The sequence below is a fragment of the Homo sapiens genome, chromosome 1 (assembly GCF_000001405.40).
Source record: "Homo sapiens chromosome 1, GRCh38.p14 Primary Assembly".
NCBI lineage: Eukaryota > Metazoa > Chordata > Mammalia > Primates > Hominidae > Homo > Homo sapiens.
The window spans coordinates 89,140,873-89,156,576 of NC_000001.11; the positions used below are offsets into that span (position 1 = coordinate 89,140,873).

General features: G+C 37.4%; 1 protein-coding gene and 1 long non-coding RNA gene across 3 annotated transcripts in view, besides 1 other annotated feature; one reads left to right on the forward strand and one right to left on the reverse strand.

Annotated features, from left to right (window-relative positions):
- Nucleotides 1-15,704, forward strand: part of LOC105378842 (uncharacterized) — a 51,385-nt gene that overhangs the window by 12,459 nt on the left and 23,222 nt on the right. The window contains exons 2-3 of one of the 2 annotated variants that reach the window (XR_947579.3): nucleotides 7,719-7,808; nucleotides 8,460-8,674. This is a non-coding gene — a long non-coding RNA (uncharacterized LOC105378842). Of the gene's footprint in view, nucleotides 1-7,714; nucleotides 7,809-8,459; nucleotides 8,675-15,704 lie in introns of both variants that reach the window. The other variant, XR_001737682.2, reaches the window with a different exon arrangement.
- Nucleotides 1-15,704, reverse strand: part of GBP7 (guanylate binding protein 7) — a 44,262-nt gene that overhangs the window by 9,131 nt on the left and 19,427 nt on the right. Inside the window, exons 4-9 of the mRNA NM_207398.3 lie at nucleotides 11,796-11,905; nucleotides 11,396-11,592; nucleotides 9,458-9,703; nucleotides 8,420-8,700; nucleotides 6,695-6,907; nucleotides 674-776 (exon numbers count right to left, since the gene is read on the reverse strand). Of these exons, the coding sequence (NP_997281.2) occupies nucleotides 674-776; nucleotides 6,695-6,907; nucleotides 8,420-8,700; nucleotides 9,458-9,703; nucleotides 11,396-11,592; nucleotides 11,796-11,905 (1,150 nt within the window). The remainder of the gene's footprint in view (nucleotides 1-673; nucleotides 777-6,694; nucleotides 6,908-8,419; nucleotides 8,701-9,457; nucleotides 9,704-11,395; nucleotides 11,593-11,795; nucleotides 11,906-15,704) is intronic.
- Nucleotides 7,859-9,058: an enhancer, noted in NCBI's record as "CDK7 strongly-dependent group 2 enhancer chr1:89614414-89615613 (GRCh37/hg19 assembly coordinates)". NCBI's record gives its function as "activates an origin of replication core promoter dependent on BRD2, BRD4, P300/CBP, MED14 and CDK7 cofactors, with strong dependence on CDK7, by STARR-seq in HCT116 cells {active_cell/tissue: HCT116}" and the evidence as "EXISTENCE:reporter gene assay evidence [ECO:0000049][PMID:35650434]".

Genomic DNA, 15,704 nt, shown 5'->3' on the forward strand with positions numbered 1-15,704 from the left:
ATGAATGAAATAATGTTCTTTGCAGCACTGTGGATGCAGCTGGAGGTCAATATTCTAAGGGAATTAATGCAGGACTAGAAAACCAAATATCACATGTTCTTACTTATGAGTGGGAACTAAATATTGAGTACACATGGACACAAAGGGACCAATAGACACCAGGACCTACTTGAGGGTGGAGGATGGGAAGAGGGTAAAGATTGAAAAACTACCTATTGGGTACTATGCTCATTATCTGGGTGATGAAATAATCTGTACAACAAATTCCCATGACACAATTTACCCATGTAACAAACCTATTTGTGTACCCTCTGGACCTAAAATAAAAGTTGGAAAGAAAAAAAAAAAAAGAAAGTAACAGTCTTGTCTGAGTTCTACTCTCCTGAGTTCAGAGGCCAAAATGACTTTGAAAAAAGCACCAAGGTGGGGAATTGAGAATCTCTGAATTCTGTCACTAGCCATGTCAGCAAGAGCATGTTTAAGAATGTTGTGGGAAGAAACTAAGTGGCTGGATGTTCAATCCCAACTCCCCTTGTTATTTTCAGTTTTAGCAGAGCATGTGTTCCCTATGAGAAGAAAGCTCCTGGTATAAGGAAAATCCTTTTTTCTGAACATCAAGAGAGTGTTGCAAGAACCTACCCATTTGCCTGAGAGCTGAGCCCTGCCCCTGTACCTGCTATGGCCTTCTCTCCAGCAGTGAGGGCTTTGTCTGACTGCAGGATGGATTCCTCTATAACCACCTGTGACTGCAGGAAGCTCTGGAGGACCTCGTCTGCCTGAAGAACCAAGAAGGAGCAAAGACCTGTCAGGCAGCAGAAATCTTGTCTTGTGATGAGGAAATTATTGTTCAACAAAGCCACAAATCTAACCTTGTAAACTTCACATTATTCTTAAGATTCCACAGTGGTTTCTTTCCTTCCACAGCCACAATAAAAAGTCCAAGCTCTTTGTTGAGACATGAAAACCCTGTGTAGCAGCCTCCCTCCTGCCTGTCCAGCCTCTTCTCCCAGGGATGCTGCTCACCACCCACCCCCGGTGCAGACAACCAGATTTCTATGCAGTTCTACAAACACACATCCTCCATAGTTTGCATTATTTGCTTTCTTTTTTCTTTTGCCTGAAGGCCTGCCTACCCTTTTCAAATTAGGATAACATCTATTGATACTTTACCTAATAGCTCTTACCTCACTGGAAGCTTTTCTAGGCTAATTATTTATTTATTTATTTACTTTTGATCACTGTTAAGAATGTTGATAATAGTTCATTAAAAGTAAACAATGTATTCAAATTTAATTTAAAAAGTTAAAACCTTAAAAAGACCGAACAGGTAACTGTTTAGTCTATTTAGGAGTAGTGGTGAATATAATGGAAAATTGAACAGTTGAGAAACTTTTTTTTCTCTTTTGAGACAGTCTCACTCTGTCACCCAAGCACAAGTTCAATGGTATTATCACTTCAACCTTGAACTCCCGGGCTGAATGCTGCTGCCTCAGCCTCCTGCATAGCCAGGACTACAGATGTGTGCCACCGCAGCTGGCTAATTTTATTTTTTACTTTTGTAGAGATGGAAGTCCTGTCATGTTGCTCAGGATGGTTTCAATCTCCTGGTCTTAAGCAATCCTCCTACCTTGGCCTTCCAAAGCGTTGGGATTATAGGTGTGAGCCACTGTACCTGGCCTGAGAAACTTTAAGAATTTGAAACTTTAAGGGAGTAACATGGCTGTCCAAAATGGGAAATTACCAATCAAGGAAAATACAACACTGCATAGACTTAACAGTCACACATGGGAAGGAAAAAGAGGCATAAATACCTCAGCCAATAAGTGATTAGTGACTGAAATTTGGGTGTGTGGGGCACATCACAGAAGGAAGGACCTAGGCATTTTTTGACGGTTATTTTCCTTGTTCCCTTCTTTCAAAAAAAATTTAGATTCATGGGTGTATTAGGACATTCTTGCATTGCTACAAATACCTGAGACTGGGTAATTTTTTTTCTTATTGTGTGATTGTAGCTTATTCACTTTCATTGTGATATAGTACGCCATTATGTGAATACACTAGTTTACTTGTTCTATTGTTGATGGACATTAGGGTAAAATTTCAGTTTGGTGCTATTGTGAATGATACTGTTGTGACCATTTCTGTCCCAGTCTTTTAAGTGAATGTATATATCTAGGAATGGATTTGCTGGGTCATTTGGTATTTGTTTTTCAATTTTAGCAATTAAAACCAAACAGTTTTCCAAATTGATGTTCTGATTTATACCTCATTAGCAATGTGTGAGAATTCCAGTTGCTTCATATTCTTGTCAACACTTGGAATTTTGATTTCTTAAACAGTCACCTTCTTTTCATTTTGTGAGGAAATTGAAACTCAGATAAGTGAAATTACCTGACCTGTACTAGGCTTTGTTCTGAGAATGCAAAGGACCTTGCAGTTCAGAATTAAGCACTTTTTTCTGTTTAACTGGTAGTGACTTATGAAGTAAAAAATCATACTCAGATTTGATATATGTATCTTTCCAAGGAGGATTACAAGTAGCTATTTATTTTTATCTGATCTGAATTTAAAATAGTTTTTTGGACACTACTGTTTTAGGGTGAGTGAGCAATAATGATTTAGGTATAGAGTTAGGATCTACATTTAATTTTTTTTATTTAACTTTTATTTTAAGTTCGGGGTAATTTATAAAGCAAAGAGGTTTAATGGGCTCATAGTTCTGCAGGCTTTACAGGAAACATGCCTTCTGGTAAGGCTTCAGGAAGCTTTTACTCCTGGTGGAATGTGAAGCAGGAGCTTGCATGTCACATGACAAAAGCAGGAGCAAGAGAGAGTGAGAGAGAGTGGAGGTGCCACATACTTTTAAATGACCAGACCTCCAGAGAACTCACTATCACACAGACAGCAGCAAGCCATAAAGGATCTTCCCCCATGATCCAAACACCTCCCACGAGGCCCCACCTCCAGCACTGGGGATTACAATTCAATATGAGGTTTGAGTGGAGACAAATAGCCCAACTTGATCAATGGGGTTCGCATGCAGGTTTGTTACATGACTATATTGCGTGATACTGAGGTTTGGGCTTCAGTCAAAACAGTCACCCAGATAGTGAATGTAGAACCCCAAAGGTCGTTTTTCAACCCTACTTCCCTCCCTGCCTCCTCCCTCTTGTATTCCCCAGTGTATATTGTTCCCGTCTTTATGTACATGTGTATTCATTGTTTAGCTCCCACTTACAAGTGAGAACATGGAGTATTTGGTTTTCCGTTTCTGCATTAATTCACTTAGGATAATGGCCTCCAGATGCATCCATTTTTCTGCAAACGACATGATTTCATTCTTTTTATGGCTGCATAGTGTCTCAAGGTGTATATGCACCACATTGTAAAAATCCAGTCTACTATTGATGGGCGCATAGGTTGATTCTGTGTCTTTGCTATTGTGAATAGTGCTGTGATAAACATATGAGTGTGGGTGTCTTTTTGGTAGAATGTTTTATTTTCCTTTGGGTGTATACCTAGTAATGGGATTGCTGGGTTGAATAATAATAATAATTCTATTTTTAGTTCTTTAAGAAATCTCCAAACTGCTTCCCACAGAGGAATTTACAATTTGCAATCCCACTAGCAGTGTATAAGCGTTCCCTTTTCTCTACAACCTCACCAGTATGTGCTATTTTTCCCTTTTTAATAATATAGGCTAATTTCTAATTTTGTTTTACAAGTTTTTTGAAGTTGATTGATAAGTAAAAATTATGTTTAAGAGGAACAGCATGATATTTTGATACATGTATACATTGTGAAATGATTATTATAATCAAGCTAATATATCTGCACCTCATGCAGTTATCTTTTTTTTGTGTGTGTGTGGTGGGAACACAAGGGACCTACTCTCTTAGCAAATTTCTAGTATAAAGTACATTGTTTTAACTATAGTCACCATGCTATACACTAGGCATCCAGAACTTACTCATCTTATAACTGAATGTTTGTACCTACTGATCACTATTTCCCCTTTCCTCCTACCCCTCTCTGTCTGGTAACCACCCATTCTACTCTCTGTTAATGTGACTTTCACTCTTTTTTTTTTTTTTTTTTTGAGACGGAGTCTCGCTCTGTCACCAAGGTGGAGTGCAGTGGTGCGATCTCGGTTCACTGCAACCTCTGCCTCCCAGGTTCAAGTAATTCTCCTGCCTCAGCCTCCAGAGTAGCTGGGACTACAGGCATGCACCACCATGCCAGGCTAATTTTTGTATTTTTAGTAGAGACAGGGTTTCACCATGTTGGCCAGGATGGACTTGATCTCCTGACCTTGTGATCCACCTGCCTCAGCCTCCCAAAGTGCTGGGATTAGAGGTGTGAGCCACTGTGCCTAGCTGACTTTCGCTCTTTTTAAATAATTTCACATAAAGGTGCGTCATGCAGTATTTGTCTTTCTAAGAATGGCTGATTTCACTAAGCATAATGTCCTCCAGGTTCATTCATGTTGTCGCCAGTGGTAGGATTTCTTTCTTTTTAGGATTCAATAATACTTTATTTTATATATCTATATTTACATATAGATATGCATATATATCACATTTTCTTCACTTGCTCATTTGTGGATGGACACAGGTTGTTTTCATGTCTTGGCTATTGCAAATTATGCTGCAATGAACATGGGAGTGAAAATATCTCTTTGAGATAGTGACTTTAGTTCCTTTGGAAATACAACCAGAAGTCCACCAATAGCTGTTAAACTAATAAATTCAGCAAAGTTGGAGGATACAAAATTAGCATACAAATTCAGCTACATTTCTATGCACTAAGAACAAACTATATGAAAAAATAAGAAAATCACATTTATAATAGCATCAAAATTATAAAATGCTTAGAAATAAATGTAACCAAAGAGGTAAAAGATTTGTACTCTGTCAATCATAAAATGCTGATGAAATTAACTGAAGAAGACATAAAATAAATGGAGAGATATTCCATGTACATTGACTGGAAAAATTAATATTGTTAAAATGTTCATACTATCTAAAAAAAATCTACAGGTTTACACAATTTCTATCAAAATTCCAATGGTGTTTTTTCACAGCAGTAAGAAAACCAATTATAAAATTCATATGGAACCATAAAAGACCCCAAATAGCCAAAACAAGAAAAACAGAGCCAAAGGCATCATACTATCTGACTTCAAAATCTACTACAAAGGTATCAAGTAGTGTAATGCTGGCATAAAGAGACATCTAACTGCATGGAACAGAATAGAGAGCCAGGAAACAAACCCACACATTTACAGTCAAAGACTTTTCAAAAAAATGTGTCAAGAGTACACCATGAGAAAAAGATAGTATCTTTAATAAATGGTGGAATGGTGGTGGGAAAACTGGACCCTTGTACTACACACAAATGTCAACTAAAAATTGGTTAAAGATTTGAACATAAGACCAGAGACTGTAAAACTCCTAAGAGAAAACCCAGGAAATACTCCTTGACACTGGTCTTGGCAATGATATTTTTGAATTTCACACCAAGAGCACAGGAAACAAGTGCTAAAAGAAACTAGTGGGACTACATCAAACTAAGTTACCACTCAATGAAAAAACAAAGAAAGGAAAAAAGAAAAGGCAACATACAGAATAGAACATATTTGCAAACCATATATCTGATAAGTGCTTAATATCCAAAATATATAATGAGCTCATATAACTCAATAGCAACACAACAAAACAAAATACAACAAAACTGATTTTTAAAAAAATGAGCAAAAGACCTGAACAGACATCCCTCAAAAGAAGACATTTAAATGGCCATCAAGTATGTGAAAGCATGTTCCGCATCACTAATCTTCAGAGAAATGCAAATGAAAAACCATAATGAGATATCACCTCACACAGAATGATGATTATCAAAAAGTCAAAAGATAACAAGCGTTGGCAAGGATGTGGAGAAAAGGGAACCCTTAGACACCGTTGGGAGGAAATTAGTATAGGAAAGTAAATTAGTATAGTCATCATAGAACACAGGACAGTTTCTTCAAAAAGGAAAATCCTGAGTTTCCAGTGGCGTTCAAGTACATAGATCAGCCCATCAGCTCCACCACTTGGTGATTGTGTCATAGGAAATTTATTAGCCTCTCCATGCATTCACATTTCTCAATTGCCTATGTGGAAGATAGTAGTAACTAATTTACATTATTAGAATGAAATTGATAATCCAACAAAATCACCTAAAATAATATCTGATACACAAAATGAATGCTCAATGTCTATGAACCATTCATTTCATCATCACCATCATTATCACCCCTATCAATGTATACCAATATGATAACCACAATCACACCATATCCAATGAGTATTAATTTGTCCATCTTGTGTAAAATCGTAAGATTCTGAAAACAAAGTTTTTCCTTTCATAGTGTATTTCTGTACTTAGCACAAAAACTATCACATTATTTGATAAATAAAAGAAATGGTTTGTTTCATCCGGACTTCTGATTCTAAATCCTCTTTGGGAAAAAAAATAGTTCTGTTTTAGTAAGAGTAGCTAAATAATTGTGGATTTTAAGATTTAAAATATCAAGGTATTGCCATGCTTCAATTTTTGTCGATAAATGGTGCTGTGTTCTTAGATTTTCAGAAGAGGCAACGAAGACCCTCTGACTATCCTCTGTCATCCATCCCCTTCTCCCCTTATTCCTCACCTTAACTCCTTTTCTGGGCACTAGTGTATAGTCCTGTTCAATCTTCTTTTTTGCTTCTAAGTAGATATTGTGCCCCCCCGGAACAAAGAAAGTTCCTCTTGAAATACTTTCTGTCAAGAGCTCTGAAAGCCGCTTAAGCTCAGCCTGACAATATTTGGCAGATGCCTCTTCATTCTGCAGCACAAAGTCTTCCTTCTTTTTCTCCATGGTGTCCTGCCAGAAAAGTGTAGGGAAAAACAGTAGAAAGAAGCTGTTAGAAGGGAAGGTCCAACTGTGATCCTCTTGGAAGAAGTAGTCTCATGGCCTCAGAGCAGGCTGAGTTACGGTGTAGACTAAGAGTCAGAAGACTTGTTTTAGTTCCAGTTCTGGTCAATTCTCTGCATGACCTGTAGAAAGTTCATGAACTCTATCTTTCCTTCAGCAAAAGTATGATTAACAGTGATCTAACTATAAACAACAAGCAAGGGACAATTCAGTTGTGGCAGTAGTAGTGTCCTTAGAGAACACAGATTGCTATGGATAAAATGTGCACACAGAAAATCAACCCTTCTGGATAATCACATCCCAGTAATGACTTGATTGTACCCTGAACAGAGCTTGGAACTCTTTTGAAATTCTTCCAAAAAGGATCTTAAAATGTGAAGATATGGGAACATTATTATCTTTTGCTTACACTTCTAAGCTATGATTGCATCTGGGTTTTCTCAATATGTACTAAGGGATTTCTGTCACTTGTGGACTGGTAATAGACAGACTGAAAGAAGGCTATTCAATAACAGTGCCAATGGCAGATTTAAGATATCCCCCAGGATTTCCCCTCCGAGGTTTCCACACTATCCATAGTCCCTGGGCTTATTAATATGATGGAGTGTACTCCAGTGTTTAGGTAACATTATATGATATCTGTTGACTTTAGAAATGGAGAGTATTCAAGTAGTACTGAGTACACTCAAGAAAGTATTTAAGAATTACCAAATTACATGAGCTCTTTGAAAGCAGAGCTTTTTTGTTTACCTTGAGGCAGAAGAGGAAGCCAGAGAAATTAGAAACAAGAGAAACATTTGATGCATTATTGCTGACTTGAAGATGGAGAGAGGTTCCCCTGAGCATACAGGTAAGAAGTAAGCTCAATCAACACCTTGTTTTCAGCTTGTGATACACTGAGTGGAGCACACAGATGCCCTAAAAAGAACTTCTGACTTACGGAGCTGTGAGCTTAGGCATTTTTTCCACACTCAGTCAGGCAAGTGCTTCTTTATTTTACCTTTTTAAAATAAAAAAAAATTCTATATGTATAATGCTTACATCAGGTTATTTTGAAATGTAACATAATCTGTACAAGAATTCTGTTTAACTTGTATGGATTATGAAATTACTAAATCAAGCTAATTAACATATATATTAACTCAAATATTTGTCATTCTAAATACTATTCTCTAAGTAATTTTCAAGAATGCAATACATTGTTATTAAATGTAGTTAGTATGTTGTATAAATGTGTTGTTAAATGTGCTACAATCATAATTTCTTATGCATGATAGAAAATTAATAAATTTCCCATATTTTAGAAAAATAAAAAACTGTAGCCCATTAAATTCAGTCACATAAAATAATCCAATCTCCCTTTACTACAAGAAGGAGATGAACCATGGCATTAAAAAGGTGGACTATAAGTATCATTCCAGAAAGGCAGGAATCAAGAAAAAAAAAAATAACAAAGATTACCACAAGCTTCTTCTGAAATTCCTGGCTTTTATCTTTGAAGGAGTACTCCATGAAGACTGCAATGGCTTCCCTCTCACAAACTGCATGCACGTCCAGCAGCTCCTGGAGTGTGTCTGTGGGGAATCTCACTTGCTGGGCCATCTGCTGGCTGTAGTGGTTGGCTGCCCTCTGCACGGCTGCTGAGTTCTCACACTGGGCCAGAACTGCCATTGCATTCTCCAGACAAGGAGTCGCTCCACTGTTGATGGCATCCAGGTAGGTCTCCACCAGCATCCCCAGCCCTGAATGATTTAGGAAATTTAGGGAATAGATAGAAAGTTTTCACTCATTGTTTTACGAGTGGTATGTATCAGCATTCTAAAAATCAGAAAAAATTCCATTTAACATGAATTTTCCCTCCTTCTCCTTCTTTCAATTCTACTATTACTACTACTACTTTTTATGGAGTCACTTTCCTACGATAACATGACTGTTGTTCCTATTTATTCTTTCTATTTTGTTCTCCAGCTCATCACATTACAAAGTTAATTACTAATCACAAACAATATGTAGCAAGGGTTTCTTGAAAAAAAAAAACTTTTCTGCTTAAGTAAAAATTTAAAAGCGTTTATTCAGCAAAGTAAATTATATCATTTGTGGATCATAATTCTGAATGTAAATGCAGGTGCTTTTATAAAAACACTTAAGACAGTGCCAGAACATCAAACCCTGTGAGAAGCTCTTTTCTATACAGAGCACTAAAAGACTGCACAGGTAACATGTTCATGAAGCCAGCTTTGTTTATAAGATTACGCTGAATTTTGTATCTCAAAATCTCAATAGGCTTGCAGAAACTCATGACATGCTACTTACTTTCTGTTTTGTGTAAATTCACAATACAGCTTTTATACCCTCACTGAGAAAAAATCCTTCACTTATCCCACACCTCATAACACAGATGTTATCTCCTTACCAGTTGTTCGTGCTCATAAGCTTAGTTTACTAGTTTTTGAGATACAGTAGGCCTCAGTAAACACCCATATAGGGAAATAGACTCACGGTTTCCAGTGACAAGGATTCCCTCTCTCAGGGTCTTGGTCTTTGCATGGGTGAAGATATAAGAACAGAAATTTTCTGATTGCATCTGGAAATTACTATCCAGTTGGTCTTCTCGTACTTCTTCAACATGGAGTAAGAGTTTTTTGTCATTTATTGGCCGGTCAAAGACAAAGCACTTCTGTTTTGGAAAGAAATGCCTGATCCACTCCCTGGGCTTGTTAGAATTTTGGATTTGGGGATTCTTGCCTGCAGAATTAGTGAAAAAGTGACTACTGAAGAACAGGTTTTAAGTGAGCCTGAAGATTTTCATTTCCAAAGTTCCTTCCATCAATCACTACAGTCTCTTGTGTCTGTGAATCTACTCTATGTAATCAAACCTCTCATGCAACCAAACTTATGCTAATCTACTTAAGGTATGAAAAGTCAATTTCTGCACAAAGCAGAGTCAAAAAGGTACTTCTGGAAATGAAGGGAATGCATCCACCTCAAGTGAAGGAATTTGTGGTTGGTTTCCTCAGCCACTGTATGATGTCCCGTAGACTGACGATTTTTAAAATGTTTGTTGAATTATGATTAACTAAAATATGATAAGAAGTACTTTCTTTAAAAATTGTATATATTTAAGGCGTTATAACATGATGTTTCGATATACATGTACATAGTGAAATTACTACTAAGTAAGCAAATTATATATCCAATACTTTCTATACTTTTCTTCCCTTTTTTTGTGGTAAGAGTACCTAAAATCTAATCTCTGTAAATTTTAAATGTAAAATACAATATTGTTAAGGATAGTTCTCCTGCAGTATATTAGAGCCCTAGACTTTCCCACCCTATATAACTTCAAGTTTGTACCCTTCACCCACATGTCCTCATTTCCTCCCTCACCATGCCCTGGTAACCACTGTTCTACTCTCTGTTTCTATGTATTTGACGTTTTGAAATAGAATCCATATAGAAATGAGGTCCTGTCATATTTTTCTTCCTGTTTCTGGCTAATATTACATAGCATCATGGACTTTCTCAATCTTACTGTCCCCATGTCAGAAATGAAATGTTGGGCTTAAAATTTAAATGCTAGAAACAAGGACAAGATGTGGCTGGGAAAAATGTTTGAAAGAGACGGAAAATACTCAGGTCAGATTATATTAGGTCTAACATTGTCTTGCAGAGGGATTCTGTGACATATATCAGTTATTCAAAACAAATATTTGTTGAAAGGATGAACAAATGAACAAAGATGGATATTGATTGTAGGTGCCAACAGGTATCCACTCCACTAAATATAATCTGTTTAACAAATGTATAATAGATTGACAACATATTATATGAGACTGTAGAATGAAGTAGGTGATGTTATGAAAATGGTAAAATAAAGGATTTGACAGTCCTACTGGAAGCATATGTCTGTGTATTTTTTTTTTAATTTCCTGAATCATTAACTGTATGAATCTCCTTTTTCTCTAAAGGTTATAAGTATCCAGGCTAATAAAATAGACTGAGTGAAATATATTTCCAAAATTGGATCATTTGACTTCTTGCGATTCTGTGTTTACCAGCTTCCAAGCTTATTAGTTAATTTTCTCCAAATAGAATAGGAGGAGCACTTGAAGTTAATAAGTAACACAAATATATGAGTCTTAGGATGTGATAATACTAATTGTAATCCTCAATATATTTTTCATGGTACTTATTGGTCTAAAATCATTTGATAGAACTTTGAGATTTAAATTTCCTCAATGAATTTGAACCTCAGCCTCTGGGAAATTTCAAGCAAAAATAACCACAAAAATCATAATCACTTATCAATCACCAACCACCATGAGCAAGGGCCTCAATCCAGTCCAATATAAAAATTTGTGTCAGGTGTTGAACGGTAGGTCCTAGTTGATCCCACCCGCTACTGAACCTTCTCCCATCTAGGCCATGCTCTGATACCTGAAATCAGCTTCAAGGCATTCTCCAGGTACTCATCTTCTGTGATGGGGTGTCCATCTAACTTCAGCTCCAGGGTAAAATCTCGAACAGTCCAAATAAAGTCTGGAAAGAAACTCACAAACTCGCTGGAGTCCTCAACTTCATCAGGTCTGGGGCACGATTTTGCCCTGATTAGCTCTGTTAGCTCAGTCACGTAGCTGGGATCTCAGCTAAGGAAGGATAGCACCCTACACCATCATTTCCACATCTCACTTAGAAACAAGTTTTATACACATTCCCTTTTGCACTGTTTCTCTTCTTACTCAACCAGGACAACTGAGTCACAACAAAGAAGACACAGTATCAGTTTCCATTCCCCTAAACTCCATAAAACCTGGCTCTTCACTTCCTGGAAGGATACTGCAGCTGCTCCAGGGCCTGGTGGTTGATGGTGCCCATGCTGTTGTAGACAAAGCTGCTGCTTAGAAGCACAGCCAGGGCAAAGATCCACGAGTCACTCTTAGGGTCACTCTAGTGTTAAAGAAAAAAAAAAAAAAAATGGAAGCCACAGTTTAGATACATCTCAAGGTCAACTACTTGTATCCATGTAACCAAAACTGAAGTCATTCCAGTTTTCCCAAAATGCTGTGTCTAAAGGAAACACAAATGTAAGCTTTATATGCTTGCCAGCATGATTCAGTGAAATTAAATAAATCAGCTATAGAAAAAGCACCTAAACATCTCTATTTGCCCTAAAAATATTGTTAATGTATAAAGCCAATCACACGATAAGTAAATATATTTCTTCCTTTATGCTTTATCAGTGGTGCTGTAACCATTATGAGGAGAGCATCTTGGTATGAAGTCTCCTGAATGATGCTCTCTACTTTTTGTATGCAATAAACTTAAATTTTTCCAAACTTAATCTGATATTGTTTGTGACACTAGAAAGCACATTACAGATAGGACTTAAGAGTCTCCTTTTGATTCATTCACTTATTAATTCATTCATTTGGTTGTTCATTCACTATTTCAGCTGTAGTATATATAGCTGAATAGTAGGGCATGTAATATGAATTTTGAAGATCATGTTAAAGTCAAGCTGTATTTTTGCCATTTATATTGATTTTCTCAGGGCTTCTCTTTCTTTAGATATTAAAAGTAGCAATTGACACTGTCAATGTGTAAAATATTTAATGCAGTGCCTACAGCATAGTAAGTATGTAGTAATTAGTGAACAATAATCCTTTTGCAAATTTTCTCAATCATGCCTATATTAGGAATGCCAATGTTAATCAATTGAATTCACCAAAAATTGTTCAGCTATGTACAAAATGCAGATGCTGCCTTTGATTTTGTGGATGCAAAGTTCCATAATCACAAGAAGATGACTTTCAGGAGTGGCAGATAGCATTGTCAACATAAAAATGCAACCAAGATGATAACTTCTGCCAGGAGTGGAACAAAAGTCGTAATGTAAAAAACAAAACAGACAACAATCCAAAAAATGGGAAGTGAGAAGGAAGGAAAATAAAGAGAAACAAATGCTCTATGAGTTCAAGCAAGAAGTTACTATGTCTAACTCAAATAAGATGGCAGTAGGTTGAAACGAGCTGGACGTTAAGGAGTACATAAAATCAGGACTTGTGGAAATGAAAGAATTAAAAAGGTGAGAGACCCAACAGAACCCAAGTCAAAATTGTTAGGGTATGATCATATAATGACATTACAGAGTTATTTAATTCAACTGAATGAGTGAATAGGTATGTGGAGAAGACAAGGCTGGAAATAATATTCAGGGCAAGACATGAAGGTCCCTTAAATAGAATTAAATGCTGACCAAATCCACAAATTCCAAGGCCAACAAGTAATTTTGCTTCCATCAAGCATGTATATATTTGTATATTTTGGTCCCTTGAACAGTCATACTTTTGCAAATAAAAAAGTTTATGCCCATTACAATCTATTTCAAATCAATATTTTATCTTTGTTGTACACTGAAATGATGATTGATAACTTTAGTACTGTATGTTTAAATTCACTGTTTCTAAATGAGACCCCACACACATTTATAATTTTTGCAGTATGAAAGCCAAAAATTCTATTTTCTTTTTTTCTTTTTTTTGAGATGGAGACTTGCTCTGTTGCCCAGGCTGCAGTGCAATGGTGCAAACACTACAACCTCCACCTTCTGGGTTCAAGCAATTCTTCCACCTCAGCTTCTGAAATAGCTGGGATCACAGGCACCTGCCATCATGCCCAGCTAATTTTTGTATTTTTAATAGAGATGGGATTTCACCATGTTAGCCAGGCTGGTCTTGAACTCCTGACCTCAGGTGATCCACCCACCTTGGCCTCCCAGAGTGCTGGAATTACAGGTGTGAGCGACCACACCTGGCCTCTATTTTCCTTTTTTTTTTTTTAACTTTAAATTTAAGTTCAGGCTTACCCCCAAACTAAATAAAATAAAATAAAATAAAATAAAGAAGTTAAAAAATATTTTAAGTCCAGTGGTGCCCCTGAACTTAATGAAATACCATGAAAGTTAATAAAATTTAAAAAAAATAAAGAAAACATTCCTGTCTGACAGCTTTGAGGAGAGTAGTGGTTCTCCCAGCACAGAGTTTGAGATCTGAGAATGGACAGACTGCCTCCTCAAGTGGGTCCCCGACCCCCGAGTAGCCTAACTGGGAGGCACCTCCCAGTAGGGGCCGACTGACACCTCAAACAGCCGGGTGCCCCTCTGGGACAAAGCTTCCGGAGGAAGGATCAGGCAGCAACATTTGCCATTCTGCAATACTTGCTGTTCTGCAGCCTCCACTGGTGATACCCAGGCAAACAGGGTCTGGAGTGGACCTCCAGCAAACTCCAACAGACCTGCAGCTGAAGGCCCTGACTGTTAGAAGGAAAACTAACAAACAGAAAGGACATCCACACCAAAACCCCATCTGTGCATCACCATTGCAAAGACCAAAGGTAGATAAAACCACAAAGATGGGGAGAAACCAGAGCAGAAAAGCTGAAAATTCTAAAAATCAGAGCACCCCTTCTCCTCCAAAGGAATGCAGCTCCTCGCCAGCAATGGAACAAAGCTGGATAGAGAATGACTTTGACAAGTTGAGAGAAGAAGGCTTCAGACAATCAGTAGTAACAAACTTCTCCAAGCTAAAGGAGGATGTTCGAACCCATCACAAAGAAGCTAAAAACCTTGAAAAAAGATTAGACGAATGGCTAACTAGAATAAACAGCATAGAGAAGACCTTAAATAACCTGATGGAGCTGGAAAGCATGGCACGAGAACTACGTGATGCATGCACAAGCTTCAGTAGCCAATTTGATCAAGTGGAAGAAAGGGTAACAGTGATTGAAGATCAAATGAATGAAATGAAGTGAGAAGAGAAGTTTAGAGAAAAAAGAGTAAAAAGAAATGAACAAAGCCTCCAAGAAATATGGGACCATGTGAAAAGACCAAATCTCTGTCTGACTGGTGTACCTGAAAGTGATGGGGAGAATGGAACCAAGTTGGAAAACACTCTTCAGGATATTATCCAGGAGAACTTCCCCAACCTAGCAAGGCAGGCCAACATTCAAATTCAGGAAATACACAGAATGCCACAAAGATACTCCTCGAGAAAAGCAACTCCAAGACACATAATTGTCAGATTCACCAAAGTTGAAATGAAGGAAAAAATGTTAAGGGCAGCCAGAGAGAAAGGTCAGGTTACCCACAAAGGGAAGCCCATCAGACTAATAGCAGATCTCTTGGCAGAAACTCTACAAGCCAGAAGAGAGTGGGGGCCAATATTCAACATTCTTAAAAGAATTTTCAACCCAGAATTTCATATCCAGCCAAACTAAGCTTCATAAGTGAAGGATAAATAAAATACTTTACAGACAAGCGAATGCTGAGAGATTTTGTCACCACCAGGCCTGCCTTACAAGAACTCCTGAAGGAAGCACTAAACATAGAAAGGATCAGCCAGTATCAGCCACTGCAAAAGCATGCCAAATTGTAAAGACCATCTATGCTAGGAAGAAACTGCATCAACTAACTAGCAAAATAACCAGCTAACATCATAATGACAGGATCAAATTCACACATAACAATATTAACCTTAAATGTAAATGGGCTAAATGCTCCAATTAAAAGACACAGACTGGCAAATTGGATAAAGAGACAAGACCCATCAGTGTGCTGTATTCAAGAGACCCATCTCATGAGCAGAGACACACATAGTCTCAAGATAAAGGGATGGAGGAAGATCTACCAAGCAAATGGAAAACAAACAAAAAAAGCGGGGGTTGCAATCCTCATCTCTGATAAAACAGA